Here is a 27,464-nt window from a genome sequence, read left to right on the forward strand (position 1 = left end):
GAAGTTAGGTAATGTGATGCCTCCAGCTTTGTTCTTTTTGTCTGTGATTGTTTTGGCTGTTCAGGCTCCTTGTTGGTTCCACATTAATTTTAGAATGGTCTAGGGATTTTTTTTGGCTGGTAAGTTTTTTATTATTGATTCAATTTCATAATTAGGTATTGGTCTGTTTAGAGTTTCAATTTCTTTCTGTTTCATTCTTGGGAGATTGCTTTCAGGAATTTATTCATTTCCTCTAGATTTTCTAGTTTGTGTGCATAGATGTGTTTATAATAGTCTCTGAGGATCTTTTGTATTTTTGTGGGATTGGTTGTAATGTCACCTTTGTCTTTTTTATTGTGCTTATTTGGATCTTCTCTCTGTTTTTCTTTGTTAATCTAGCTAGTGCTTGCTTGTATGAAAAAGCTCTTATATCTCCTTAACTTATGAAGCTTAGTTTGGTGGGATATGAAATTGTTGGTTGGAATTTCTTTCCTTTAAGATGCTAGAAATAGGCCTACAATCTCTCCTGGCTGGTAAGGTTTCTGCTGAGAAGTCTGCTGTTAATCTGATGGGTTTCCCTTTGTACATGACTTGACTTTTTTCTCTAGTTGCCTTTATATATATATTAGCAGTGTCCTTCCATAGTCTGGTAACTATACACCTTGATAATGTTGATTTTGTATAGTGTCTTGAAGGTGTTCTCTCAATTTCTTGTATTTGGATGTCTACCTTTCTAGCAAGATTAGGGAAATGTTCTTGAATTATTCCATCAAATATGTTTTCTAGGTTGTTTAGTTTTTCTCTTTCAAGAATGCCAGTAATTCATATATTTGATTGCTTTACATAATCCCAATATCACACTATTTTTATTATTGTAATTTTGTAGTATGTTTTGAAATCAAGAAATTTAAGACTTTCAATTTGATTCTTCTTTTTCAAGATTGTTTTGGCTATTTGGCATTCCTTGAGATTTGAATTTTTGGATAGATTTTTTTCTTTTTCTGCAAACACTCTTGTTGGGTTTTTGATAGAGATTGTGTTGGCTCTTTAGATGGCTTTGGATAATATTCACATCTTAACCTTATTAATTTTTGAATCCATGAACTTGGGGTGTCTTTCCATTGATTTTTGTCTTTATTTTCTTTCAGCAATTTTTGTTGTTTTCAGCATATACAAGTCTTTTGCCTCTGTGGTTCTGTTTGTTCCTAAATAACCTATTCTTTTTGGTGCTATTGAAAATGAAATTATTTTCCTAATTTTCTTTTTGAGTTTTTAATTATTTGTTGAAATGCAGCTGATTTTGGTGTGTTGATTTTGTATTCTTTAACATTGTGGAATTTATTTATTTTTCCTAACAGTTTGTTTTTGTGTGTCTGTGTGTATGGAAACTTTAGAATTTTCTACATATAAAGGCATAACATCTGTAAACAGAGATAATTTTAGTTTTTCCTAATTTTGATGTCTTTTATTTCTTTTACTTGCCTAATCATCCTAGCTAGCACTTTTAGTACTGTGTTGATTAGAAGTGGTGAAAGTAGTTGTCCTTTCCTTCTTTCTAATCTTAGAGATTTCAGGGGTTTACCATTCAGTATGATTTTTTTTTTATCTTGAACTATCCTTGCATCCCAGGATTAAATCTCATTTGGCCATGGTGTAGGATTCCTGTAATGTGCTATTATATCTATTTGCCAGTATTTTGTTGAGGATTTTTGCATGAATATTCATCAGAAGTATTGGTCTGTAATTTTTATGTTTTGTCTTTGTCTTTGGTATCAGGGTAATGCTGGCCTCATAAAATAAGTTTGGAGATATTTTGTTCTTCCATTTTTTGGAAGAGTTTGAGGATGATTGGTATTCATCTTTAAATGTTTGGTATAATTTTCTAGTGAAGACATTTGGTTCTGGATTTTTCTTTGTAGGTAGGGTTTTGATTACTTATTCAGTCTACTTTCCAGTTAATATACTTATTAAGATTTTCTATTGCTTTCTGGTTCAGTCTAGATTGCGTATTTCTAGGACTTTGTTAATTTTTAAAATAGATTATCTGATTTGTTGTGGTGTAAGTGTTCATAGTTTTCTCTTAAAGTTCTTTATATTTCTGTAAAATTATTAATGATGTCCCCTCTTTTATTTATAATTTTATTTTATTATTATTATTATTGAAACAGAGTCTCTGTCGCCCAGGCTGAAGTGCGGTGGTGTGTGATCTTGGCTCACTGCAACCTCTGCCTCCTGAGTTCAAATGATTCTTGTGCCTCAGCCGCCTGAGAAGCTGGGATTGCAGGTGTGCTCTACTATGCCCGGCTAATTTTTGTATTTTTAGTAGAGTTGGGGTTTTGCCATGCTGGCCAGGCTGGTCTCTAACTCCTGGCCTCAAGTGATCCACCTGCCTCGGCCTCTCAGAGTGTTGTGATTACAGGTGTGAGACACCATGGCCGACCCTCATTGATAATTTTAGTTGAGTCTTCTCTTCTTCTTATCAGTCTAGTTATAAAGGTTTATCAATTTTATTGATCTTTTTGAAGAAGCAACTCTTGGTTTTGTTGATTTTTCTCCATTGTTTCTCATTCTGTGTTTTCTTTTTCTCTAACATTATTATTTATTTCATTCTGCTAGCTTTAGTTTTGATTTGTTCTCTCCTTTATAGTTTTTTAAGATGTAAAGTTAAACTGTTAATTTGAGATTGCTCTTTTAAAATGTAAGCACTTATACATGTCCCTCCCCATTGTTTTCACTGCATCCCCAAACTTTTTTTTTTTTTTTTTTTTTTTTTTTTGAGACAGTTTCACTCTGTTGCCCAGGATGGAGTAGAGTGGCACAATCTCCGCTCACTGCAACCTTTGCCTTTGGGTCAGGTGATTCTCCTGCCTCAGCCTCCTGAGTAGCCGGGATTATAGGTGCCCACCACCACTCCTGGCTAATTTTTGTACTTTTAGTAGAGACGGGGTTTCACCATATTGGCCAGGCTGATCTCGAACTCCTGACCTCAAGTAATCTGCCTGCCTCAGCTTACCAAAGTGCTGGGATTACAAGCATGAGCCACTGCACCTGGCCTGTTGCATATATCTGGGGGCTCTGATGTTTGGTGCACATGTATTTATAATTGTTATATCGTCTTGGTATATTGATTATTTTATCATTATGTGATTAAAAATTATTTTTTCCTTTTTAAATAACAGTTTTTGACCTAAAATCCATTTTTTTTCTGGTGGTAACATAGCCACTGCAGCTCTATTGGTTATCATTTGCATGGAATTTATTTTTCCATCTTTTCCCTTCCAACCTATTCATATCCTGGATCTTTAGTCTCTTATAGAGAGCATATAGTTGGATCTTGTTTTTTATCCATTCTTCTAAACTATGTCTTTTGATTGGGGAGTTTAATTCATTTGCGTTTAGAGTAATTACTGATCGGAAAGAACTAACTCTTGCCGTTTTGCTGTTTTCTATATGTATTTAGGTTTTCTGTGATTTCCTCCTTTATTACCTTCCTTTGTGTTTAATTGATTTTTGGTTTCCCTTCTCATTTCCTTTGTGTACATTCTATAGATATTTTCTTTGTGGTTACCACGGGTATTACATATAATATTTTAGGCTTATAATAACCTGTTTTAATCAGATAGTCACTTAAATTCAATCACATACAAAAAGTTTACTCGTTTACAACTTTGCCCTCCCCTACTTTGTCTTATTGTTGTTACAGATTACTTCTTCATATTTTATTTACACATTAACATAGTTTTTTAATGCTTTTGTCTTTTAAATGATGTAGAAGAATAAAATCAATTATAAACTAAAATTATGTTAACACTGATTTATGTATTTGTCCATGTATTTAACTTTACCAGATAATTTTACATTTTGTGTAGCTTCAAGTTACTATCTAGCATCTATTCATTTTAACTTAAAGGACTCCTTTTAATATTTCTTGTAGGGAAAATCTAACTATAATGAATTCCCTTGGTTTTTATCTAGGAATGTCTTAATTTATCTTTCATTTTTTAAAGGATGGTAAGGCAGAGTTTATTCAAGGGGATCCATGGCAATAGGAACTACTCTAGCTGGGTTTTGCAGCGGCAGAGAGAGACTGGAAGGAATTCCCTCCCTTATTGTTGAAAGATAATTTTGCCAGATACAGAAATCTTGGTTGATCTTTTTTTTTTTTTTTTTTTTAACACTTTAAATATATCATCCCACTGCCTTGTGGTCTTCAAACTTCGGCTGAGGAATCTGCCAAAACACTTACTGGGGATTCCTTGTACATAGATGCGTTGCTTTTCTCTTGATGCTTTAAAGGTATATATTTTTTAAATTTATTTCCAACTACCACATGTTCTCACTTATAAGTGGGAGCTAAACAACAAGAACACGTGGATACTAGGAGGGGAACAATGAACACGGGAATAATTGAGGGTGGAGTGTAGGAGGAGGGAGACGATCAGAAAAAAATACCTGCTGAGTACTATGCTTATTACCTGGGTGATGAAATTATCTGTAAACTAAACCCCCGTGACACATAGTTTACCTACATAACAAACCTGTACATATACCCCTGAACTTAAAGTAAAAGTGAAAAAAAGAGAGAGGTTTATTTAGGAAAGAGGTCTCCCTTGTAGATAGATTAAAATATTACGCATTCTAAACTGAAACTTGGCTGGAAACAGTGGCTCATACCTGTAATCCCAGTACTTTGGGAGGCTGAGGAAGGAGGATTGCTTGAGTTCAGGAGTTCAAGACCAGCCTAGGCAACATTGCAAAACCCCATCAATATAAAAAATACAAAAAAATTAGCTGGCCATGGTGGTGCCCTCTTGTAGTTCCAGCTTCTCGGGAGGATGAGGTGGGAGGATCGCTTGAGCCCAGGAGGTCAAGGCTGCAGTAAACTGAGATTGGACCACTGCATTTAAGCCGGGGCAACAGAGTGAGACCCTATCTCAATCAATCTGAATCAATCTCAATCAATCAAAACTGAAACTTAATCCTTCAAATATGTTTATTTTACTTGTCCTAAAACAATGTCCCTAGAAGTATTAAAGTGTAAAGCACTGTTATTTTCCCATTTTGAGATCTCTAATGTAAAAATGTATTTTTTGAAAATAATTTAAAACATAAAATGCTATATAATAAACATTTAAAAATTTTTTTTATTTTTATATTTTGAGACAGGGTCTTGCTGTATTGCTCAGGCTGGAGTGCAGTGGCAGGTCATAGCTCACTGCAGCCCTGATCTCCCAGGCTCAAGTGATTCTCCTGCCTCAGCCTCCTGAGTAGCTGGGACTGTAGGCACACACAACCATACCTGGCTAATTTTTAGTAGAGATAAGGTTGGTCTTGAACTCCTGAACTCAAGCGATCCTTTTGTCTTGTCCTCCCAAAGTGCTGAGATTACAGGCATAAGCCACCACACCTGGTCTAAAGGTATTGTTTTTAAATTTCAATTTCTAATTGTTTATTGCTACTATATAGATATGCAGTTGAATTTTGTAAATTGACCTAATATCCTGTGACCTCGTTAAACCCACTTAATAATTTTAGTAGTTGTTTTGTAGACCATTTGGGGTTGCTTTATGTAGACTATAATCTATTTTGATGAATAAAAAAAAATATTTCTTCCCAGAGTGTTTTTTTTTCTTGGCTTATTGCACTGACTAGGACTTCCAGTACAAAATTAAATAAGAGTGCCAAGAGCAGAAATCTTGTTCCTGATTTTAAGGGGAAAGCATTCTATCTTTCACCAAGTGCTATGTTAGCTGTATGGTTTTAATTTTTTTTTGTAGATATCCTTTATCAGATGGAAACAGTTTTCTTTAATGTAGTTTTTTTTTTTTTAAATCATGAGTTGATGTTTAAACAATTTTCCCCTCTATTGAAATAAATGGGTTTCCTTCTTTCATGTTTTGATATGGTGAGATACACTGATTGATTTTTGAATGTTCAGCTTTCATTTTATATATTGCTGGATTCAATTTGCTAAGATTTCGTTGTGGATTTTTGCTTCTATGTTCATGAGGAGTACTGGTCTGTAGTTTTGTTATTTTGTGCTGGGTATTAGGGTAATATTAGTTTCATAGAATGAATTGCTATGTATCTGTATCTCTTCTGTTTTCTGATAGAGTTTTTAGCTTTCTGAATTTAGAATTTTTCCTTGTGGGAAGGTTTTTAATGGAATTAAATTTCTTTAACTGATACGTCTCTTTAGGTTATCTGTTTCTTCTTGAGTAAATTTTGGTAATTTCTTGCAATGGATTTATCCATTTTACTTAAGTTGTAAAATTTATTGAAAGTTGATAATATATTATTTTAATGCCTCTAGGATCTATGTAACATCCCTTCTTTAATTCTTAATACTGTTTGCTTGTGTCTTCTGTCTGTCTCTCTCTCTTTCTCTCTCTGTCTGTCGTGCTAGAGGTTTTTCTATTTATTTATTTGTTTATTTATTGAGACAGAGGCTCACTCTGTTGCTCGGGCTGGAGTTCAGGTGGTATGATCTCGGCTCACTGCAACCAGCACCTCCTGGGTTCACGTGATTCTCGTGCCTCAGCCTCCCGACTAGCTGGGATTACAGGTGTGTGCCACCACACCTGACTAATTTTTGTATTTTTAGTAGAGAATGGGTTTCACCATGTTAGTCAGGCTGGTCTCCAACTCTTGGCCTCAAGTGATCCGCCTGCCTTGGCCTCCTAAAGTGCTGGGATTACGGGTGCGAGCCACCCTGCCTGGCCAGGTTTTTCAATTTTATTGATAATTTCAAAGAATGGACTTTTGACCTTACTGATTTCTCTCTCTCTTTTTTTTTTTTTTTGGTTTTTAATTTCACTTTTTTTCCCTTTTAAAATTTTCATTATTTCCTTCCTCCTGTTTACTTTGGACTTATTTTGGCCTTCTTTTTCTAGTTTCTTAAGGTGGGATATTATGCTATTGATTTGAGACGTACTTATTTTCTGATATAATAATTTAATGCTGTAAATTTCCCTCTAGGCACTGCTTTGGGTACATCTCAAAAGTTTGGACATTATGTTTTCATTTGCATTCAATTAAAATTATTTTCTAATTTATCTTATGATTTAGTCTTTGACCATTGGGTATTTATAATTGTGTTGTTTAATTTTTAAATATTTGGGGGATTTTCCAGATATCTTTCTGTTACTGGTTTCTAGTGTAATTCTTTTGTGGTCAGAGAATATACTTTATATATTTTAAATTTGTTAGGGTTTGTTTTATGTTTCAGAATATGGTTTATCTTGGCAAACATGATATGTGCTCTTGAAGCTATTTGGCTATTTTTGGGTGGGGTATTCTCTATATATTAATTAGGTTAAGTTGGTTGATTGCATTGTCCAGGGTTTCCATATCTTTACTGAATTTCAGTCCACTTTTTCTATTGACTACTGAGAGAGGAATTTTAAGTCTTCACCTGTAATTTTAGATTTGTCTATTTTTTATTTTTATTACTTTTTAGTTTAGTTTTGAAGCTATGTTTGTAGGTATATAAGTATTTAGGATTGTCATCTTCAATCGATCCCTTTATTATATTTAATGTTTTTTATTTATCTCTGATAATATTTCTGGTTCTGAAGTTAACATTTTCTGATATTAATATAGCAGTTTCAGGTTTATTTTGATTAGTGTTTGCATGGTATGTGTTTTTTCTGTTCATTTACTTTTAACTTACCTGTGTCATTGTATTTAAAGTGAGTTTCTTTCTTTCTTTCTTTTTTTTTTTTGAGATGGTGTCTCGCTCTGTCACCCAGGCTGGAGTGCAGTGGCGCGATCTCAGCTCACTGCAACCTCTGCCTTCCAGGTTCAAGCATTTCACCTGCCTCAGCCTCCTGAAGAGCTGGGATTACAGGCATGTGCCACCACGCCCAGCTAATTTTTAAAAAACATTTTTAGTAGAGATGGGGTTTCACCATATTGACCAGACTGGTCTTGAACTCCTGACCTTGTGATCTGCCCACCTCGGCCTGCCAGATAGACACCATATGGTTGGGTCTTGCTAATTTAACCCAGTATGATAATCTCTATCTTTTAAATGAGATGTTTAGGCCATTTATATTCAATATAGTTATTAATCAACTTGTCAGGGTGTGTGTGTGTGTGTGTGTGTGTGTGTTTGTGTGTGTGTGTGTTTGTGTTCTTCCTTTTTTCTGTTTTCCTGAATGCTTTTGATTCTTTTTTGCTGTGTCACATCTACTGATGACCCCTTCACATGAAATTTTTACTCTCATATTGTGGTTTTTATTGTTAGAATTTTGTGCTAAAATTCTTGTTTTTCTTTTTTCTTTATTTTCCTAACTCCCCAAACTTGTTATCTGTGCTGAAATTCTTTATTTGTTCATGGATTTTTTTCCACTTTTTTCCCTAAATTATTTGGTGTATCAATCATAGTTTGACATTTCTAACTGTCTCTGAGTCTGGTTCTCTTGATTGCTTTGCAGTGTGATGGTTGGTTTTTGTTGCTTTTAGTTTGTATTATTATTTTTGAGAAGAGTCTCACTCTGTCACTTAGGCTGGAGTGCTGTGGTGCAATCACAGCTCACTGCAGCCTCAACCTCCCTGGGCTCAGGTGATCTTCCTGCCTCCACCTCTTCAGCATGCACCACCACTCCCAGCTAATTTTTTTTTTTTTTTGTATTTTTTGTAGAGATGGGATCTTGCTATGTTTCCAAGACTAGTCCTGAACTTCTGGGCTCAAGCAATCTGCCAGCTTCAGTGTCCCAAAGTGCTGGGATTACAGGCATGAGTGGCCATGCCCAGCCTCATTAATTTTGATTGAATGTCAGACATCTTATATATAAAGAGAGACTGAAGTAAATAGTATTTATAGTTGGGAATGGACATTACTCTTCTTATAGAGAGATATGTTTGTATGTCCCATCTGTAAGGGCTGTCCCTCCTTGGATTTCAGGCTGCTTCAAGAAAAGTTGTGATTTTGTAATTTATCCAGCTTTTGTTCATTGTTAGTATGGTAGTGGCATTCTTTTCAGCTTTTACATTATGGGCTGTGGGCCCTCTAAGATTTCTCTAATTTATTCGTAACAGAATACAAATTTATCTTATTTATGTAATTTGGACTTATTTTCATTTTTGAGCACATAGCCATTAATTTTTGCATACATGTGATATTCCTTATATTTCATCTGTGAAGCAAATCTGTTTCCAATGTAGTAAAAATTAATTACATGTAAACTTACATAATTTTAGTCAATTTGAATTTTTCTACACAGTATTATTTGTTGGGTATACTTTTTTGAGGGTTCATTATTGGTAATATTCATATGGGTTTGAATCCTAGAAGGGCAGTTGTCCACTCAAAAAATAAGTTGAGTATATGCATATTATTAAAGTTGTATCTTAAGTTATTGAGATGTGTATTATTGTATTAAACATCACCCATGACTTGCAAACTCAGAAGAAATATGAATAAAGGGCATCTGTTCAAACCTTAGTAAAACTTCTTGGCTTCTGTTAGGAGCCTTCTTGACTCTGCAAATTCCCAAGACTTTCCAGGCTGATACGATGAAGGCTTTTTGGGTGCTGTATCACTCTTCATTCCCCTCTTCATAGCCCCTGGTAACCTTGATTTTACTGTCTGTTTTTATGAATTTGCCTGTTCTAGGTACCTCATATAAGTGGAATCATATAATATTTGTCCTGTGTTTGCCTTATTTCACTTACTATAACCTTTATATTTCTGATTGTAAAGGATGGAAAGTCATCCTTTCCATTTGCTTGGGCTACATTTCTATATTCCAGTCTTAAAGCTAATGTAACCTGTTGCTTATGTAATATGTGTGTCAACATTATGTATGGATTTCCAAAACAACCAGCATTATAGCATCTGGAGCTTTCACCAAGTTTTCAAGGGGCCTCTTACTTTTCCAAAGAGGTTAAGAACTACTGCTATAGATTCTGAAGCATATATAATCATATAAAACAGCCCCTGATCTTAAGGAGCTTGACATTTTATTGATCTTTGTCCTGTCTATGACAAACTAATGGGTTGGGGTGGGTAGTATTGTATGACCAATATAGAAGCCTACACTGAAGAGTGAAGCGCAGTGACTTACGCCTGTAATCTCAGCACTTTGGGAGGCCGAGGCGGGCGGATCACGAGGTCAGCAGATCTACATCATCCTGGCTAACACGGTGGAACCCTGTCTCTACTAAAAATACAAAAATAAAATTAGCCGGGCATGGTTGCGGGCACCTGTAGTCCCAGCTACTTGGGAGGCTGAGGCGGGAGAATGCTGTGAACCCGGGAGGCAGAGCTTGCAGTGAGCCGAGAACGCGCCACTGCACTCCAGCCTGGGCGACAGAGCGAGACCCCGCCTCAAAAAATAAATAAATAAATAAATAAATAAATACACAAATAAATTAGAAAATGCCTATAAAATACTTAGCAGAGGGGTTTATTTGTTAGCTGTGCTGGATGAAGGTAATGATAAAATAATAACCATCTACGTGACCAGAGGTGATTACTAAATTTCCTTTATATATTTTTTACTTTTGTTGTGCTGAATTATCTATAACATAAAAATTTGCCATTTTACCCATTTTTAGGTGTACATTTCAGTGGTACTAAGTACATTCACAATGTTGTACAACCATCCCCACTCTGTATTTCCAGTACTTTTTCATCTTCTCAAACAGAAACTCTGTACTCATTAAACAATAACTTTTCATTCCCCTCTTCATATCCCCTAGTAACCTCGATTTTACTTTCTGTTTCTATGAATTTGCCTATTCTAGGTGCCTCATATAAGTGGAATCATGTAAGATTTGTCCTTCTGTGTTTGGCTTATTTCACTTAGTGTAATCCTTTACATTTTTATTTATCCATTAAGCACAATGACATTTGTCTTTTCTATTTCATTGAATTACTGTTTAAAGTCAAATGAAATAGTTAAATCCTAATAGGTACTATATAAATTTAAGACGGTATGTATAAAAACTGGTAAATATTACCTGAAAGTAATAAACTCATTTGCTGTCTCCCTGTGATTGTAAGTGGGTTACTTTATTTATAATTTAAAAAATTATTCCTATGTTACATAGAAATGCTAGGCTTATTCTAAAATTCAAAGTTAGATTTTAATGTCATAAGAGAGAAGTTTGCTTGAACTGACCATTTGTGGAATGTTTGTTAATTTTAAATTTGGATTCAATATTTTATATACCTTATTTGACTTGAACTTTATTGTATTTCTTTCTCTTTTTAGGATTCTAATTCTCAGGTGGATTTAAGCATTCGGGTTACTGATGATGATATTGGTGAAATAATTCAAGTAGATGGAAGCGGTGATACATCTTCCAATGAAGAAATAGGAAGTACAAGAGATGCAGATGAGAATGAATTTCTAGGGAATATTGACGGGGGAGATCTGAAGGTACCTGAAGAAGAAGCTGACAGTATTTCAAATGAGGATTCAGCCACAAACAGTAGTGATAATGAAGACCCTCAAGTAAACATTGTAGAAGAGGTGAGGATGACTTTTGAGCTGAGACTTCCTTTATTAATTTATAACATTTCTACTTTATTATGCCTTGGAACCAAAAGGAATAGCAAGATTAATCTTTTCTTTACTCTTTTGAAATAAGACTTATTTGGGGCCGGGCACGGTGGCTCACACATGTAATCCCAGCACTTCAGGAGGCTGAGGCAGGTGGATCATTTGAGGTTTGGAGTTCGAGGCCAGCTTGGGCCAACATGGTGAAACCCTGTCTTTACTAATAAAACAAAAATTAGCAGGGCATGGTGGCACATGCCTGTAAACCCAGCTACTCAGGAGACTGAGGCAAAAGCATTGCAGGAGACAGGTTGTAGTGAACCAAGAAATGCCACTGTATTCCAGCCTGGGTGACAGAGCAAGACTCTTTAAAAAAAAAAAAGACTTATTATATGCTTGGATTTAAACTTTTAATCTTCAACTGTAATTTAAAACCAATAATAAATATTTGGGAATGGGCTTCTGTATTGGTCTTAACTAGAGGTAGTAGGTGATCTAGGCAATGGGAGTGGCTGTTAAAGAAGGCAGCCTAGGTAGAAACATATAGTATCTGCTCTAATTCTAGTAAATGTCATAAAATCCAGGTAGAGTGTGCTTATTAAAAAGTGTGTAAGTAGTATTAGCTATAATTTATGGCAGCCTTATATATGTGCCAGGCATCATATTAAGTCTTAAATGCCTTATCTTAATAGTCCCAAAGTCCTGTGGTTCTTACTGCTATCCTGATTTTAGATATGAGGAAACTGAGATATGGAGAGTTTTAGTAACTTGCCTAAGGTCAGTCTTGTAATTATTAAATGGCCAAACGGGATTTATTTATTTATTTATTTTTGAGACAGGGTCTTGCTCTGTTGCCCAGGCTGGAGTGCAGTGGTGTGATCTTGACTCACTGCAACCTCTGCTTCCTGGGTTCAAATGATTCTTATGCCTCAGCCTCCTGAGTAGCTAGGATTACAGGCACACCACCATGCCCAGCTAATATTTATATTTTTAGTAGAGATGGGGTTTCACCATGCTGGCCAAGCTGGTCTCGAACTCCTGGCCTCAAGTGATTCTCCTGCCTTGGCCTTTCAAAGTGCTGGGATTACAAGCATGAACCACTGCACCCGGCTCAAACAGGGATTTAAACCCAGGCTATTTGACTTTTAGTACAATTATATTCTGCTGCTCTAGGTTCCTTTATTTCTTTGTTTTGTTTTGGTTTGGTTTTTGAGATGGAGTCTCGCTCTGTCGCTCAGGCTTGAGTGCAGTGGTGTGATCACAGCTCACTGCAGCCTCAACTTACTGGGTTCAGATGATTCTCCTGCCTTACTCTCCCAAGTAGCTGGGATTACAGGTGTGTGCCACCATGCCAAGTTAATTTTTTGTATTTTCAGTAGAGATGGGATTTCACCATGTTGCCCAAGTAAGTCTTGAACTCCTGGCCTCAAGCAATCTGCCTGCCTAGGCCTCCCGTAGTGCTGGGATTATAGGAATGAGCCACCACGCCGAGACAAGTTCCTTTATTTCTATATGTCTCTTTATCTTTAAACAATTTAAAGCATCATAAAATTCCTTAATGTGATCATCTTTCGTCTTTAGGACCCTTTAAATTCTGGAGATGATGTTAGTGAACAGGATGTGCCAGACCTGTTTGACACGGATAATGTTATTGTCTGTCAGTATGATAAGGTACTGTATTTACCTTTTGGACTTTGGGTTTATTAACTGCATTTATAGTAGAAAGGTATGTAAAATGATGGGAAATAAGATGAAGAGTTACACTTCACAATTAATCAAAACAGCAGTTTAATTCTGGAAATTCTGAGTGTGTATTTTGGGTCTAGCGCTGTGCTATGTGATCTCAGTGATACCAGAAAAAGTGACAGTCCTTAAGGAAGTAATGATCTTATTGAAACAAGATGTTTCTTTTGGAAAACTAGAAAGACATACAATGAGATGGTAGGTAAATCAACAGCTAAAATATGTGACAGGTAAATCAAATGCTAAAATATGTGGAATGTAATCAAATGCTAAGATGAGTGGCAGGTAAATCAAATGCTAAGATATGCAGCACAGATAGTAAGCCCTAGAAGTGGCTAGGAAATGTAAGAAATCATTTGTAGTTGGAGTTCCCCATAAATCCATGGGTGATGTGGGGTTTTGAAATGGGTCTTGAATGACTTGTAGGATACAGGTAAATATGGAGAATAAGCATCAGATAGAATAGCCCAATAAAAAGCAGAGAAATGAATGGATGTAGTATGTACAAGGGACACTGAAGAGATAGCTCTGGCTTGAACAAAGTGTCTTTTATTGGATGTATAGTACTAGGAAGTGAAGCTGGGTGGGAGACAGAATAGGAAGCAGATTAGAATATCCTGAATGCTAGTAGGAAAAATCTGAACTTGGTCTGAGGGACACTAGCCTTCTGAGAAGGTTATTGAGAAAATTGTAATTGGGTTTAAAAGCCAGATGTGTTTGATTTGGAAAAAGCAAATGGTAAAAGTGGGTAGGGCAGACGTGAAGTGCCCAGAACCCAGACAGAGGATGGCAGTGTAAGAACATGGAGAAGTCAGAGGTTATGATGGAAAAATCGGTGGGACTTGGTCATTAGTTGAAGGTGTCTCTCAGGTTTCCAGCCTAGAGATTATGTTAGTAGCAGTCTAACTCTAGCAACTAAAAATAATACTGCTTTTTAAAAAACACTACAGCTGTGATTATGTAGTCAAATGGGAGTTTTTGTCCTTAATTCATGAATATTTATATTCTTAAAGTGGCTTTGAGATATAATGAACATAGTATACAATTCGCCTATTTAAAGTATACAATTCAATGGTTTATTTAGTGTATTCATAGATATGTATAACAATTATCACAGTCAATTTTAGAACCATTTTATCACCTCAAAAAGAAACCCCATACTTTTTGTTTCTTAGTGCAGTATTCTCCCCATTTTCCCTACTCCAAGCCTGTAGGCCTAAGAAACCACTGATCTACTCTCTATTTCTATGGATTTTCCTATTCTGGAATTTCATATGAAAGAAATTATATAATATGTGGTCTTTTGTTACTGGCTTCTTTCACTTAGCACAGTGTTTTCAAGAGTCATCCATGTTGTAACATATATCACGTCTTCGTTTTTTAAAAAAATTGCTGAATAATAGTCTATTGAATGGATATACCACATTTTCTTTTTCCGTTTGTCTTTTGAGGGACATTTGGGTTGTTTCCACTGTAGGGGAGAAAAAAGTAATACCTTTTCCTTACCCATTGCTATTTCCCTGGTTGAGGCACCTATAAAAAAGACAGATTAACAAGAGAAAATCATTCAAATTTATTTTAACGTACATTTTACTGACACAGGAAACTTTTTTTTTTTTTTTTTTTTTGAGATGGAGTCTGGCTCTGTCGCCCAGGCTGGAGTGTAGTGGCGTGATCTTGGCTCACTGCAAGCTCCGCCTCCCGGGTTCAAAGGATCTTCCTGCCTCAGCCTCCCAAGTAGCTGGGACTACAGGCGCCTGCCACCACGCCCGGATAATTTTTTGTATTTTTAGTAGAGATGGGGTTTCACCGTGTTAGCCAGGATGGTCTGGATCTGACTTCGTGATCTACCCACCTGGGAAGTGCTGGGATTATAGGTGTGAGCCACTGCACCCAGCCGACACAGGAATATTTAGAAATGAAGACCCAAAGAAACAGGGAAAACTATTTTTCTGGACAGTCATACCGAAGTATGATAGGAGGAAAAAAGGATATGATCTAATGACAATAAACTGGAGGAAACGTAGTAAGGCCTGTTTGTTCAGATTTTTGTGTCTCTGTGTCTTCAGAGATAAGGACACTTATTTTCCTTTGTGTATAGGGTAGGGACCTCTGTAATAAAGGTTTTATGACTTACTTTAAAGGAAGGTCAGATAATCCTTTTATGGCCTGGTTCAGGGGAGAAGGGTGAGGGCAAGGTCAGAAAGACTTTCCTGCTTCTGCCATTTTTTCAAATGTCAGGATGCCAGAACACATATGGGGTAATGTGTTCTGAACCCCATAGATACCTTTTTGCTGCTATGAATAATGCCTCTATGAACATTTGGGTACAGGTTTTTGCGTGGACATATGTTTTCATCTGTCTTGGCATATACTCAGGAGTTGAATTCCTGGGTCATGTGGTAACAGCTTAAGGAACTATTAGACTATTTTCCAAAGTGGCTGTACTATTTTACATTCTTATTAGCAGTGTTCGAGGGTTTCAATTTCTCCACATCCTGGCCAGCACTGGCCATAATCCGACTTTCTAATTCTAACCATTCTAATGAGTGTGAAATGGTATATCATTGCGGTTTTGATTTGTGTTTCCCTGATAACTAATGCGTATTTACATATTTAGCCTTTTTTTTTTCCAGTCACAATTTGAATATATTTAGGGGGAAACAAAGAATAATGTTTTGAATTGCTGTAAAAAGAAATCTTTTTCTCTGAAAATAAGGTCACTTTCTCCACTATAACATTTTATACAAATAGAAAACCGCAATTTAGATGCTGAATACAAATATAAACATAAGAAGGAATAGGGGATAGAAAAGGAACAGTTCTTAGTTTGAAACTTGTTTTAGTTTCTTATAAACAATATATTGCCTTCTATAAAAAAACATTATAAGGTACTTAATTATATATACATTCCATAAAGTCTCATGCAGAATTTTCTAGACCATTATGGATGTGGTATCCTTTGTTTGCCGCAATGTGGGAGATACCTTGTAATTAATTATGTAGTACTTTGTATTTTTGCGGTGTTTTATCATATATTATCTTTTGTTTCTTATAATAACCTTATGGAATAGATAGAGGTGATATTAAATATACACTGCTAACAAATCTAGTATCTGAGAACCCTTCTACTTAGTGAATATTTTAAGAACAGTGGTAAAAAATTAATGGAAAGCAGGGCATTGGGGAACCATTGAAACATTTTAAAAGGGGAGTGATGTAGTCAGAAGATAGCCAAAAGAATGTATCTAAAGGTCAAAGTGGGGTGAGGAACACTGTTATAGTGAATCTTTATGAAAGAAAAACTTTCCAGTGCTGGTCACTGGTTGATTTGTTTCAAATAGTATTGAATGTAACCCAACTCAAGTGAATTGAAAGAACTTTCAGTAGTCTCTTTTAGAGCTTTACTAATTCAGTGTGTTTTATGGGCTTAGCACGCTTTTGTTATGCCACTCTGCTAACTTACTCAGCTTATTTTAAAGGCAGGTAGTATCAGTTCCTCTGGGAAACTATTACAAATGCAGAATCCTGAGTCCCACGCCAGAGTACTGGATAAGAATGTACATTTTAACAAGACTCCAAAATGATTTGTATGGCCGTTAAATTTTGAGAAGCAGTGTTTGGTTTCTTTAGTATATTTTATTTGGATTTGATTAACAGATGGAATTTATCTTTAAAATTTAGAGATTAACAATTGGGGGGAAAACTTTGAAAATATAAACATGTACAGTGCAAAAGGGCTAAATGAAGGCCACTGGTTTACATACTGGGTGAGAATTAGTTAAATGGTATAGATATTTTGTTTCAGAGGCCTAGAGAATGTCTAAAATTAATATAAGGATTTAAATAATAAAGATATTATAGCGAAAATTAATGGTGAAATGAAACCTTTTACTACAGATGGAGGTGTTCTGTGCTACAAATAGGACACTATTTATAGTGGAATGTGAAACCATTTGAATATCCTATATCTTCGTTTGACAGTTTAGCAGACTTGCTTATAGCTGACTTTATCCCTTAGATGCTATACAATGATTAATTTCTAGGTGTGTAGCATGGTTTCTTTATATATACAGAGAGAGATATGTATATATGTGTATATATAGTCTCTTTATATGTATCTATATATCTCTCTATATAATAGTCTATATATATGTACATTTCCTTTGAATAGATAGTGCATACACATGGTTAAAAAATCAAAATACTGTAAAAAGGTATACAATGAAAAGTCTGGTTCACATTCCTTCATCATTTTTGCTTTCTATTAGTAGCTCCTTTTCCTGTTTTGAATGCAAATAAGTAGTTATATTAGTTTTCATCGAATTTCTTTATTCAAATACAAATACAAAAGATAGCATAAATAACACTATATTCTGTACCTTGCTTTTTTTCTTTAAACAACGTATCTGTCAGATCTTCCCATATGAGGAGGCTTTCTTTGTGATGATATTTTAATGGCTGTATAATATCCTATTGTAGGATTACTAAAATTCATTTAACCAATCCTCTACTGATGGATATTTGTGATTTTTCAGTCTTTTGATTTGAACCACTATGTATATAAGACATTTTCATAATGTGTGCAGATATATCTATTAAATCCCCAGAAATGGGATTCTGGGTCAAAGGGCAAATGTACGTGGTTAGGTATTCCCAAAATGCTCTCTAAGAGCATTTTGCCATTGTGAAAGATGAAAAGTGATACCTTGTTGGAATTTTTAACTTTCCATATGTTAAAGGGCCTTTTGTATTTACATTTTGTGAACTGTTTGTTCATAATCTTTGTCTATTTAAAAAATTGGATTATTTGGTCTTATATTTAGTGATCTCTAAGAGCTCAATATTATTTTGGAGAAAATGAGCTTTTTGTTATACACAGAAGTACTTTTTACTCAGTTATTTTCATTGCTTTTTCTTTTCAATATGTAGATTTTGGATCTGTCAATCTTTAATTTTATGTCTTCTGCATTTTGAGCCATGAATAAAAAGTTCTTTCTTACCTCAGAGTTTTAAAGGGAAGCTCATGTTTTCTTCAAGTATTTCATATATATCTATATATCTATATCTATATCTATATCATCTATATCTATATCTATATCTATATACTCAAGTCTTGATTCATTTGGTGTTTGTCTTGGTGTATAATGTAACATATGGTTTCAACTTTTTATTTTTTTTTTTCCAGGTGGCTACTCAATCTTCCTAACATTTTTTAAGAAATCTATTTCGTCCCTAATGTTAAGACATGATTTATCATCTGCTACTGCATTTCTAAATGTATTTGGGTCTACTTATTGATTTTCTGTTTTGTTCCATTGGTTTGTCTGTCCATAGGCCTATGCTACTCTGATTTAATTATTAAGATTTTTAATGTCTGGTAAGGTTAGTAATTCTTTACTAATTTTTTTGCAGAGTTTTCCTGGATATTCTTGTTCATTTTTCATATTAACTCCAGAATCAACTTGTCTGGTTCAAAATAAAACCCTGTTGGTATTTTCATTGAGATCACATTAAATTAATAAAATTTGTTATTTTAATGATGCTGGGGAGGAATAGATTGCAATTTTAGATGGAGTGTCTAGGGGGGCCTTATTGAGAATGTAATAGGGTAAAGATCAGAAGGAAGTAAGGGAATGAACTGTGAGGATATTAGAGTGTAAGCATTTTGAACAGAAAGAACAAGAAATACAAAAGTCCTGAGGTAGGAGTATGCCCGTGTGTTCAGGGAACAGTGCAGAGGCCAGAGCAGTAAGTGAGGAAAAATAAAGGATTTTGTAGTCCATTGTAAGGACTTTAGTTTTTGGATGGGAAGTCATTGGAGAGTTTCGACAAGAGAAATGACATCTGATTTATGTTTTTAGCAGACACTCTGGGTATCCTGTTTATAGTAGACTGAAGTGGGTGTTGTCAGGGAACAAGGGTAAAAACAGGAACTAGTTATGAGGCTATTGTATTGACCTGGGCAAGAGAAGATGATGGCTGAGATAAGAGTAACAGTAGTGGAAGTGGTAGAAGTTTTTGGAATATGAATATGTTTTGTAGGTAGAACTAACACTTACTGATGGATCTGGATATGGGATGTAAGTAGCAAGCATAAAGAATACCTCTAAGATTTTTGACTTGAGCTCTTAGAAGAATAAGTGGTCATTTCCCAGTGAGATGGGGAAGATTGTGAGGTTTGGGGAAGACAGTATAAGTGTCATAGTTGTAAACTCTGAGATGGGTGTGTGTGTGTGTGTGTGTGTGTGTGTGTGTAATACACAGTCTTTAATATTTTTTCTGGAGTTTTAAAAAATCTAATATGCAATAGTTTTATTAAATACTTTTTCAACACAATTAGAGGTGATTATATGATTTGTCAGTAACTGAAGTAATATGATTTTTATATTAATAAGTTCCTAACATTGAACTATTGTTGTATATCTAGAAAAAATATAGTCACTAGATAAAGGTACCACAATTAGTTGTTGCTTCTGTTGTTCTCCTAATGCTGCTTATATTTTATTACCTGTGCTGAGTTTGGGATGTTTGTTGTCACCGTTGTATTCCCGAGAGATTTTTAAGACACGTGCAAGTGACTGTGCAAGACAATTTGGGAATAAAACTCAGAAAAAATTTATTAGGACTTTAAAACCCCCCCACAAAAATAGGGGTTTATCCTGTGTGTTTTCTTATGCTTCACAAAATGCATCTGAATACCAGTCACAGCCTTTGTTCTTGGATTTGACTATTTGTAGTCAACAACTAGGTTTAAATTTTACTCTTGATCTCAGATCATATATTCCTAGGGCTTTTAAATAGTCACTTGCAGTTTACTTAGAGGTAGCAATGATTTTATGGCTTGTTACCTCTTGAAGTATTAAAATTTCTTATTTTTTATTGTGTCTGTGTCTAGGCTGATTTATGGAATCTAGAAAACAGCCAGCAGAGTCTTACAGATTATAAGCTGTATATTCTGACCTTGTTCAGTGCTTTATTGGGACTTTCTTCCTCATGATGAAGTATCACTTTTTCATTTCTGATAATATTGGCTACATCTTCCCTGTTTATTCCTTTGCAGACATACTGGACTCTGTGCTGTTCTTGAACAATCCAGGCATGCCCCTCTTTAGGACTGTTCACTTCTATTCCTTTTATCTGGAATGCTCCTGAGTAAATATCTGCCTTGCTTTACTCCTTACCTTCTTCAAGTTTTTGCTCAAGTGTCACCTCAAATGACAGCTTAATATTCTACATAATTTACTTATGTATTAGGTTTCTGTCCTTCCCTATTAAAATGTAAACTCTTAAAAGGCAGGGATTTTTTTTGGTTTTACATATACAGGATGTGTGTTTTTATATATAATATATACAGTATAGAAATATATGTATCTTAAACTAATATATTTCCAGTGCCTAAAACAGTGTCTAACACATAGGAACTCAAATGTTTATGGAATAAACAAACTATCTTGAGGAGATTTTAATTTTAAGGCACTCACATTTCGGGTGAGAATAATCCCATTTACTGTAGCAGAGAAATGCAGGTGATCCTTTAACTTGTAAAATTAATTAATGTAAACTACTTTTCTCCCTCCAGATTCATCGAAGCAAGAACAAATGGAAATTCTATTTGAAAGATGGTGTTATGTGTTTTGGAGGGAGAGACTATGTATTTGCAAAAGCCATTGGTGATGCAGAGTGGTAAACCTTGTGAGCTCAGTACATCTATTTTGTGAACATCAGTTGGATTATATTGCATATTGTGAATTCATTTTTATTTTGAATATAGTCCAGCACAGAGCTGTTCAAATTTTTAGTTCACTGTATGGAATTTAATAAAATTATAATTCAGATGCAGATACAATTACACAATTTTATATGTATTTTGTTTTATGTCTTAACAGGGTTTTTTAAAACTCTCATTCTATACCATTACAAAGCATAGATGCATCAGGATAATGGAACATGAAGAAGTATCACATTTCTTTTTTCTTGAAGTAAAATTTAAATCACACTTCAGTTCCCCTTCATGGTAAAGTCAGTATCAGTTATTAGATTGGGATCAGCATTCCTCCCACCTCTCACCAAACCATGTTATAGAACGTCCTTGGGAGTCTTTTAAGTAGTGGGATATTCAAGAAGGCGTCTTTGGGTTTTAATTCTGTACTGATCACTGGAAGTATGTTGACTGTTTAAGCCCAGATAGTCCCCTGGAGGCAGGCGCCTATACTATTATCTGAACATGAAAATCTTTGCTGAGGCTAGGATCCCTGTAGCTAAGGATCAGCCTCTCTGGACTTATCATTTGGCTAGGCCATTCTTCTTTATATTTCTGGGGAATTGTGAGGAAGTAGGTTAGGTTCCTGTTCTACTTCTTGAAATTTCATATGTCTGTATTTTTCCTAATCATGGTGCGTTTTTTTTCTCTCTCCCTACTTTTTCTGTTTTTCGTGCGGTGGAAGACCCCTTTGCAAACCCTTTCCTCTTCAAAGGCAGTACCTCACTCTCTTTTTCTTAACAGGGATCTCCTTCATTGATTTTAGGCTTTCTGAAACAAAAGTCAAGAAGAGATGTTCTCTTCAGGAATTTCTGCTTTGGCAGTCTCATTTGAGATACGGAGGACTGGATAACTGTCTTGAAATCACAGAGAGAAAACAAAACATCAGATAAATAGCCCTCATTTTCCTGTGGCAATAAAAACCAAAGCAAATTAATATTCCGATAAGTTATTCTATAATACTCTTTTCCTTAGTAGATTCACGTCTCTCAAAGAAATATTTTCCCCATCACTCTGCTGCTCTTAACAGGTGGGGCACATATGGTCTGTAAGTCTAGGAGCTCTGTTTTTATCCCTGAATGGTGTTTTTAAGGACAGTAACTGTCATAAAAAGAGCAGTGCAGGGATGAGTAGGTTATGGCCTATTAAAGCTCCTTAAGGATTCGATGCCTGGATCTGACTGGTTACAGGGCAAATTCCCTGTATCTTTTTGGAAAGCAACCCTATTGGGGAGTTTAATTTTTTTCCAACACTTTTCTGTCCTACCCAGGAGGCTCAGCTATTGGTATATCTTCTTGAAATCTGGATGGATCTCCTCTGGGTCCTGGGCAATGTGGATGGGGTATTGTCTCCAGCCTAAAGTAGGCAGCTGCATGAGGATTCAGTTAGTACTAGTGAGTGGGCTGGTCCCCTAACTGTATTCTCCCACTAGGCCCTCTTCATCCTTAGAGTGATTGACCTTTTCCTTATTACCAGTGCTATTCTAGATCCTTCTCTGGATCTTGAGAACTCCCAGGAGCTGTGGGTTCTTTTCAAGGGTGTTGCCTTCCATGAAATGTCTGTATTCTCTACATGGAAAGCAAAAAGAGAGCCCTTTGCATCTGTCTCTGAAATGTACCCACTCCAGGGCTGAGGAGTGTACTTTCTTCTTCCTGTTTTCTTTCAGGCCCACCCAGTCATTCTGTATTTTCCCCAGGCAAATTTTATTGCAAATTAAGGGCTGAATTTATTGATAAGGTGTACACACCTGGGAACTGGGAATTAATGTGTTGGTTCAAGTGCCTGGGGGAGGCAATAATATTTGTTTCTAAAATTCTTTTCCTCTTTTTCACTGTGAACTTTAAAATCTCATTTTACTTTAGTGATTTTTTAAATGGTATATTACAAATACTGTTATGATATTGGGCCTCTTTATTTGTGTAGTATACTTTATCATTAAAGAATTAGTCATGGTTGTTCCATTTGTGTTTCTGCTTGCCCTCATGCCCCTCATCTTTTAAAAATGCAAAAAATCAATTTAAATGTACGCTTATCACAAAACAATAATAATAATTTTCCTTGCATGCTAACATAAACCAATTACATAGTTTCACTGGTGACTACAGAGAGAATTAAGAGATCACCAAATTATTTTGGATCTGTTACCTTTTTATTGGTCTCAGATAATGCTAGGAAAAATCCTAGTTCTTGAGAAGTCATCTGAACAGTGACTTTAACATTTTTTGGCCAGAATCTACCCTAAGAAATACAGTTTAGCAACTCAGTATATATTTGCATGTCTACTGACACACATAACACAAATGAAACAAAAGTTTCAGAAAATCATGCTGCCTTTAGCATATGATAGCCTTCCCGACATCATCTATTTGATTCTGTTTTGTTTCATTAAAAAAATTGATGGTGTTGACCCACTAAATTGATTTCACTACCTACATTTTTAACCTGTGTAGTAAAGATAGGGTGAGACACTAGTTAATTTTAAAAGAGAAAATTATTCTTTAAAAGCCCTGTAAGTCAGGAGAGTTTACCTGAGACTTGGCTTTGATATCATATTACTTTTACTTTCAGGAACCTCTTTATTATGTCCGAGGTAAACATTTCCTATTGCATTTTTATAACAAAATACTCTAAGTTTCTTAAGTTCTTATAAAGACAGTCTCTTGGCAAATGTCATTTCTAAGCTCTTTTATAGGTAGAGAAATTTCTATGTCAGTATGCTTTGAGAATTTCTCAAGTATTTTTGTTAGCATGCTGTAGTTCTTTCTTCCCTCCCTGTCTTCCTCCTTCTTTTCCTCCTCTCCTCTCCTCTCCTCTCCCCTCCCCTCCCCTCTGTTTCTCCTCCCTTCCCTTTCTCCTCCCTTCCCTTTCTCCTCCCCTTCTCCTCCCCTCCCTTTCTCCTCCTCTTCTCTTTTTTGAGACAAGGTCTGGCTCTATCACCCAGGCTGGAGTGCAGTGGTGCTATCTTGGCTTACTGCAACCTCCACTTCCCAGGCTCAAGAGATCCTCATGCCTCAGCCTCCCAAGTAGTTGGGATTACAGGCATGCACTACCATGCCCGGCTAATTTTTGTATTTTTTGTAGAGACAGGGTTTTGCCATGTTGCCCAGGCCTGTCTTGAACTTGGGAGCTCAAGTGATTTGCCTGCCTTGGCCTCCCAAGGTACCAGGATTACAGGTGTGAGCCACCACACCTGGCCTATGCTATAGCTCTTTCCTACATACTTTCTTCTTTTCTCTGTAGACTAAGAAGATCTTGCTGAGTTCGTACAGTTAGTCTCTTAGGGACTGACCAACTGACCTTGTCTGGTACATTTACCTATTTTATTCGATGTGCAGAACACCTCAGTCATGGCTATAATATATGTAAATAATCACCTCTGTAGCTCAGTCTCCATAGAGCAGCAAGAAATCTATTGACACACTCAGTTTCAGTCACTTAGGTTGTGTAGGAAAAAGAATAACTTTTAGAGTGAATAGCATCAGTTAATTGTCGTGGGTAAAAAGGGAGGGGATTTAGTGGGAGATTTTATTTTGACTCATATTAGTAGGTTAATATTATCCTGGTTTTCATGTAAATACACACTAAGCCAGGTGAGAATGTTGTGATTTATAACTAGAAAGCTAAATTATAAGTAGAAAGCCCTAGGTAATAACTCTTAGGGGGAAAAAGATAAAAATATTGCTCATTTTGAGGAAAACATTATTTCTAATTATAAACACATTTATTGAAATATTTGTGACAGAGATTCTTAATTTACATGTGGACCCACTACAATTTGAGGAAACCAAAATCATGCCTTTTACAGCAAATGTTATAAATGGAGGAAAAAATACCATTGCCCTTTAAAATCATTTTGTAAATTTAGATGAGTTATTCCAGATGAATTAACCCCTCTTAGCCATTTTGCAACCTACTAGTGATAATATCAAATGTTGGTTAAAAAATACAAAATAGAAATATAAATTTATCAAGTATTGCATTTTTATGATTTAGGTATGAGAGATTATACAGAATAAGGATACACGTTTTCTATGAGACCATCTCATATAGGAAATGCTTCTTAACTAGGACAATTTTATTTTCAGTTATAAAAGTGAATCAGCTAAAAAATTATTAATCATCTATGATGTGTAAGACTCTAGATATAGTTGGAAACAGAGATGAGTGTATCACTAAAAAAACTCCTATCATAGGTGAATAAGTGGTGTGCTTGTAAAGATAATTAATAATACCCAGCAGTGTAGGGTAAGAGACAAATGAGTGATGCAGAGGACAAATGCTAAAGAAGTCCAAAGAGAGAGACCACTGTGGGTTATACATTATTTATGCCCTACTTTATTTTGGATAAAGGAAGAGTCCTGACTATAGTAGATTAAGGAGAAAGTAAAGAGAGTTTAATTTTTTAAAAATAAAAAAGGCCGGGCACGGTGGCTCATGCCTGTAATCTCAGCACTTTGGGAAGACAAGGTAGGAGGATTTCTTGAAGACTGGAGTTCAAGACCAGCCTGGGCAATATGGCTAAACCCCATCTGTACAAGAAAAAAAAAAAGCCAGGCATGGTGGTGCATGCCTGTATTTCCAGCTACTTGGGAGGCCAAGGAGGGAGGATCACTTGAGCCCAGGAGGTAGAGGCTGCAGTGAGCCTTAATCACACCACTGTCCTCCAGCCTGGCTTACAGAGTGAGACTCTGGTTGTTTTGTTTTGTTTTGTTTTTCTTTAAGAAAAAAGATAAAAAAGATGAACCTATGGTTGTTTTAGGGCCTTAAAGGATGCAGGGAAGGACAGGTAAGGGGTAAGATATTCAGACAGTGAGAATGGCATGGGCTCCAGCATGGATATTCATAGGGCATGGCTAGGGAAAAGTGATTAGAACAGTTTGTTTCATGTAGAAAATCAGCAGGAAATAAAGTTAGTAGATTTAAAGTAGATCAGTAGAATTAAAGTTAGAGCTCTCTGAATGTTAGGCTAAGCTCTGAAATTTAAATTTATAGGTCTGATGAATTGCTCAGGATTTTTTTTGCAGGTATATAATAAGGTGAAATAGGATTTTATGACAATTAATCAGTGGTAGTGGGTATGAGAGTATGGACATGGGAAAGATTGGATAGGAATAAAAATTAGGGAGATACTCCAGGAGTAAGGGGAAAATGATCTGAGATGTGGGTGTGGCAATAGGAATACAATATTTTTTTCAGTTTACATTTACATGGGAAGTTTTTTTTTCTTTTTTGAGACAGGGTCTCACTTTGTTGCCCAGGCTAGAGTACAATGACATGATCATAGCTCACTGCAACCTCGAATTCCTGGGTTTATGTGATTCTCCTGCCTCAGCCTCCCAAGTAGCTGGTACTACAGGCATGTTGCCACCACACCTGGCTAATTTTTTAATTTTAATTTTTGTAGAGATGGGGTCTCGCTATGTTGTCCAGGCTGATCTTGAACTTTTGGCCTCAAGTGATCCTCCTGCCTTGTCCTCTCAAAGTGCTGGGATTACAGGCATGAGCCACCATGCCTGGCCCTGGAATATTAACTGGTGTAGAAGACAATTCAAAAGAATAACTGGTAGATCTTAGCAACTGAAGAATATGGGAATATGGGAATGAGAATGAGGGAGACAATAAACTGTAACTCCATGTGTTAAAACTTATAATGTAGAAAATAAACATCAGTTTTTGTGCAAAGGTCATGAAAGTTATTGAGAGTATGCGTACAAGTAGCTTGGTCTCAAACTGCATTTGAGTGTGTAATTTAAAGTTTCTCCACAAGAATAGATTTTATTTCCCTTTTTTCCTTTGTGCTTTTTTTGCTTACTTAGCTGTTTTGGTTCTGGGATTTATATATGAAACAGAAAGTTTGTGTTAGGTATACAGCAACATGACTAATTAGTATTCTGTTATATTGCTGAGACAAATTTTAGAACACTAGCTTATGAGAGAGGCCTGCATCTGAATAAAGACAAGTAACTTGTTATGCAGCAGAAAAATCAGAAATGTGAAAAACACAGTACAGAGAACAGATTTTATAAAATTTATAATGTTATGATCTCTTTGAATCACTTTGCACAGTGGCATAAGGATTGAAAACAGATTGGATGTGTAGAGTGTCTAGTTATGTCTATACATTTATATAATAAAATCTCAAAGCTAAAAATTGGAAATAACACAGATATTCATTAATAGAAGAATAGAAACAATATTCTATTCATACAATGTAATATTAATCAGCAATATTCAAGCAGTAACATGGATAAGTAGCAAACACATTGGGTTGAGTCAAGCCTTATACAAAAGAGTATATACTATATGATTCTGTTTATATGAAGTTCTAGAACAGACAAACTAATTGGTGGGAGAAAAATAAAAAACCATCCTTCCCTGTGGGGCTGGGGGTCAGGAATTAACTGGGAAGGGGCATGAGGGAACTTTCTGAGGGTGATGATATTATATTACTATGCCTTGATAGAAGTTTG

The 27,464-nt window shown here is 35.6% G+C and overlaps 2 protein-coding genes across 5 annotated transcripts in view; both read left to right on the forward strand.

Moving 5' to 3' along the window:
- The window catches only part of GTF2A1L (general transcription factor IIA subunit 1 like), a 61,749-nt gene extending 40,665 nt beyond the window's left edge, over nucleotides 1-21,084 (forward strand). For both annotated transcript variants that reach the window (NM_006872.5, NM_001193487.3), the window contains 3 exons: nucleotides 11,202-11,462; nucleotides 13,071-13,160; nucleotides 20,815-21,084. In NM_006872.5, coding sequence (NP_006863.2) covers nucleotides 11,202-11,462; nucleotides 13,071-13,160; nucleotides 20,815-20,922 — 459 coding nt within the window. In that variant the 3' untranslated portion in view covers nucleotides 20,923-21,084. The remainder of the gene's footprint in view (nucleotides 1-11,201; nucleotides 11,463-13,070; nucleotides 13,161-20,814) is intronic.
- Nucleotides 1-27,464, forward strand: part of STON1-GTF2A1L (STON1-GTF2A1L readthrough) — a 246,595-nt gene that overhangs the window by 128,596 nt on the left and 90,535 nt on the right. Inside the window, exons 9-11 of one of the 3 annotated variants that reach the window (NM_172311.3) lie at nucleotides 11,202-11,462; nucleotides 13,071-13,160; nucleotides 20,815-21,084. In NM_172311.3, coding sequence (NP_758515.1) covers nucleotides 11,202-11,462; nucleotides 13,071-13,160; nucleotides 20,815-20,922 — 459 coding nt within the window. In that variant the 3' untranslated portion in view covers nucleotides 20,923-21,084. Of the gene's footprint in view, nucleotides 1-11,201; nucleotides 11,463-13,070; nucleotides 13,161-20,814; nucleotides 21,090-27,464 lie in introns of those variants that run through there. The other 2 variants (NM_001198594.1, NM_001198593.2) reach the window with 2 other exon arrangements.

Source organism: Homo sapiens, chromosome 2 (genome assembly GCF_000001405.40).
Source record: "Homo sapiens chromosome 2, GRCh38.p14 Primary Assembly".
NCBI classification, from domain to species: Eukaryota; Metazoa; Chordata; class Mammalia; order Primates; family Hominidae; genus Homo; species Homo sapiens.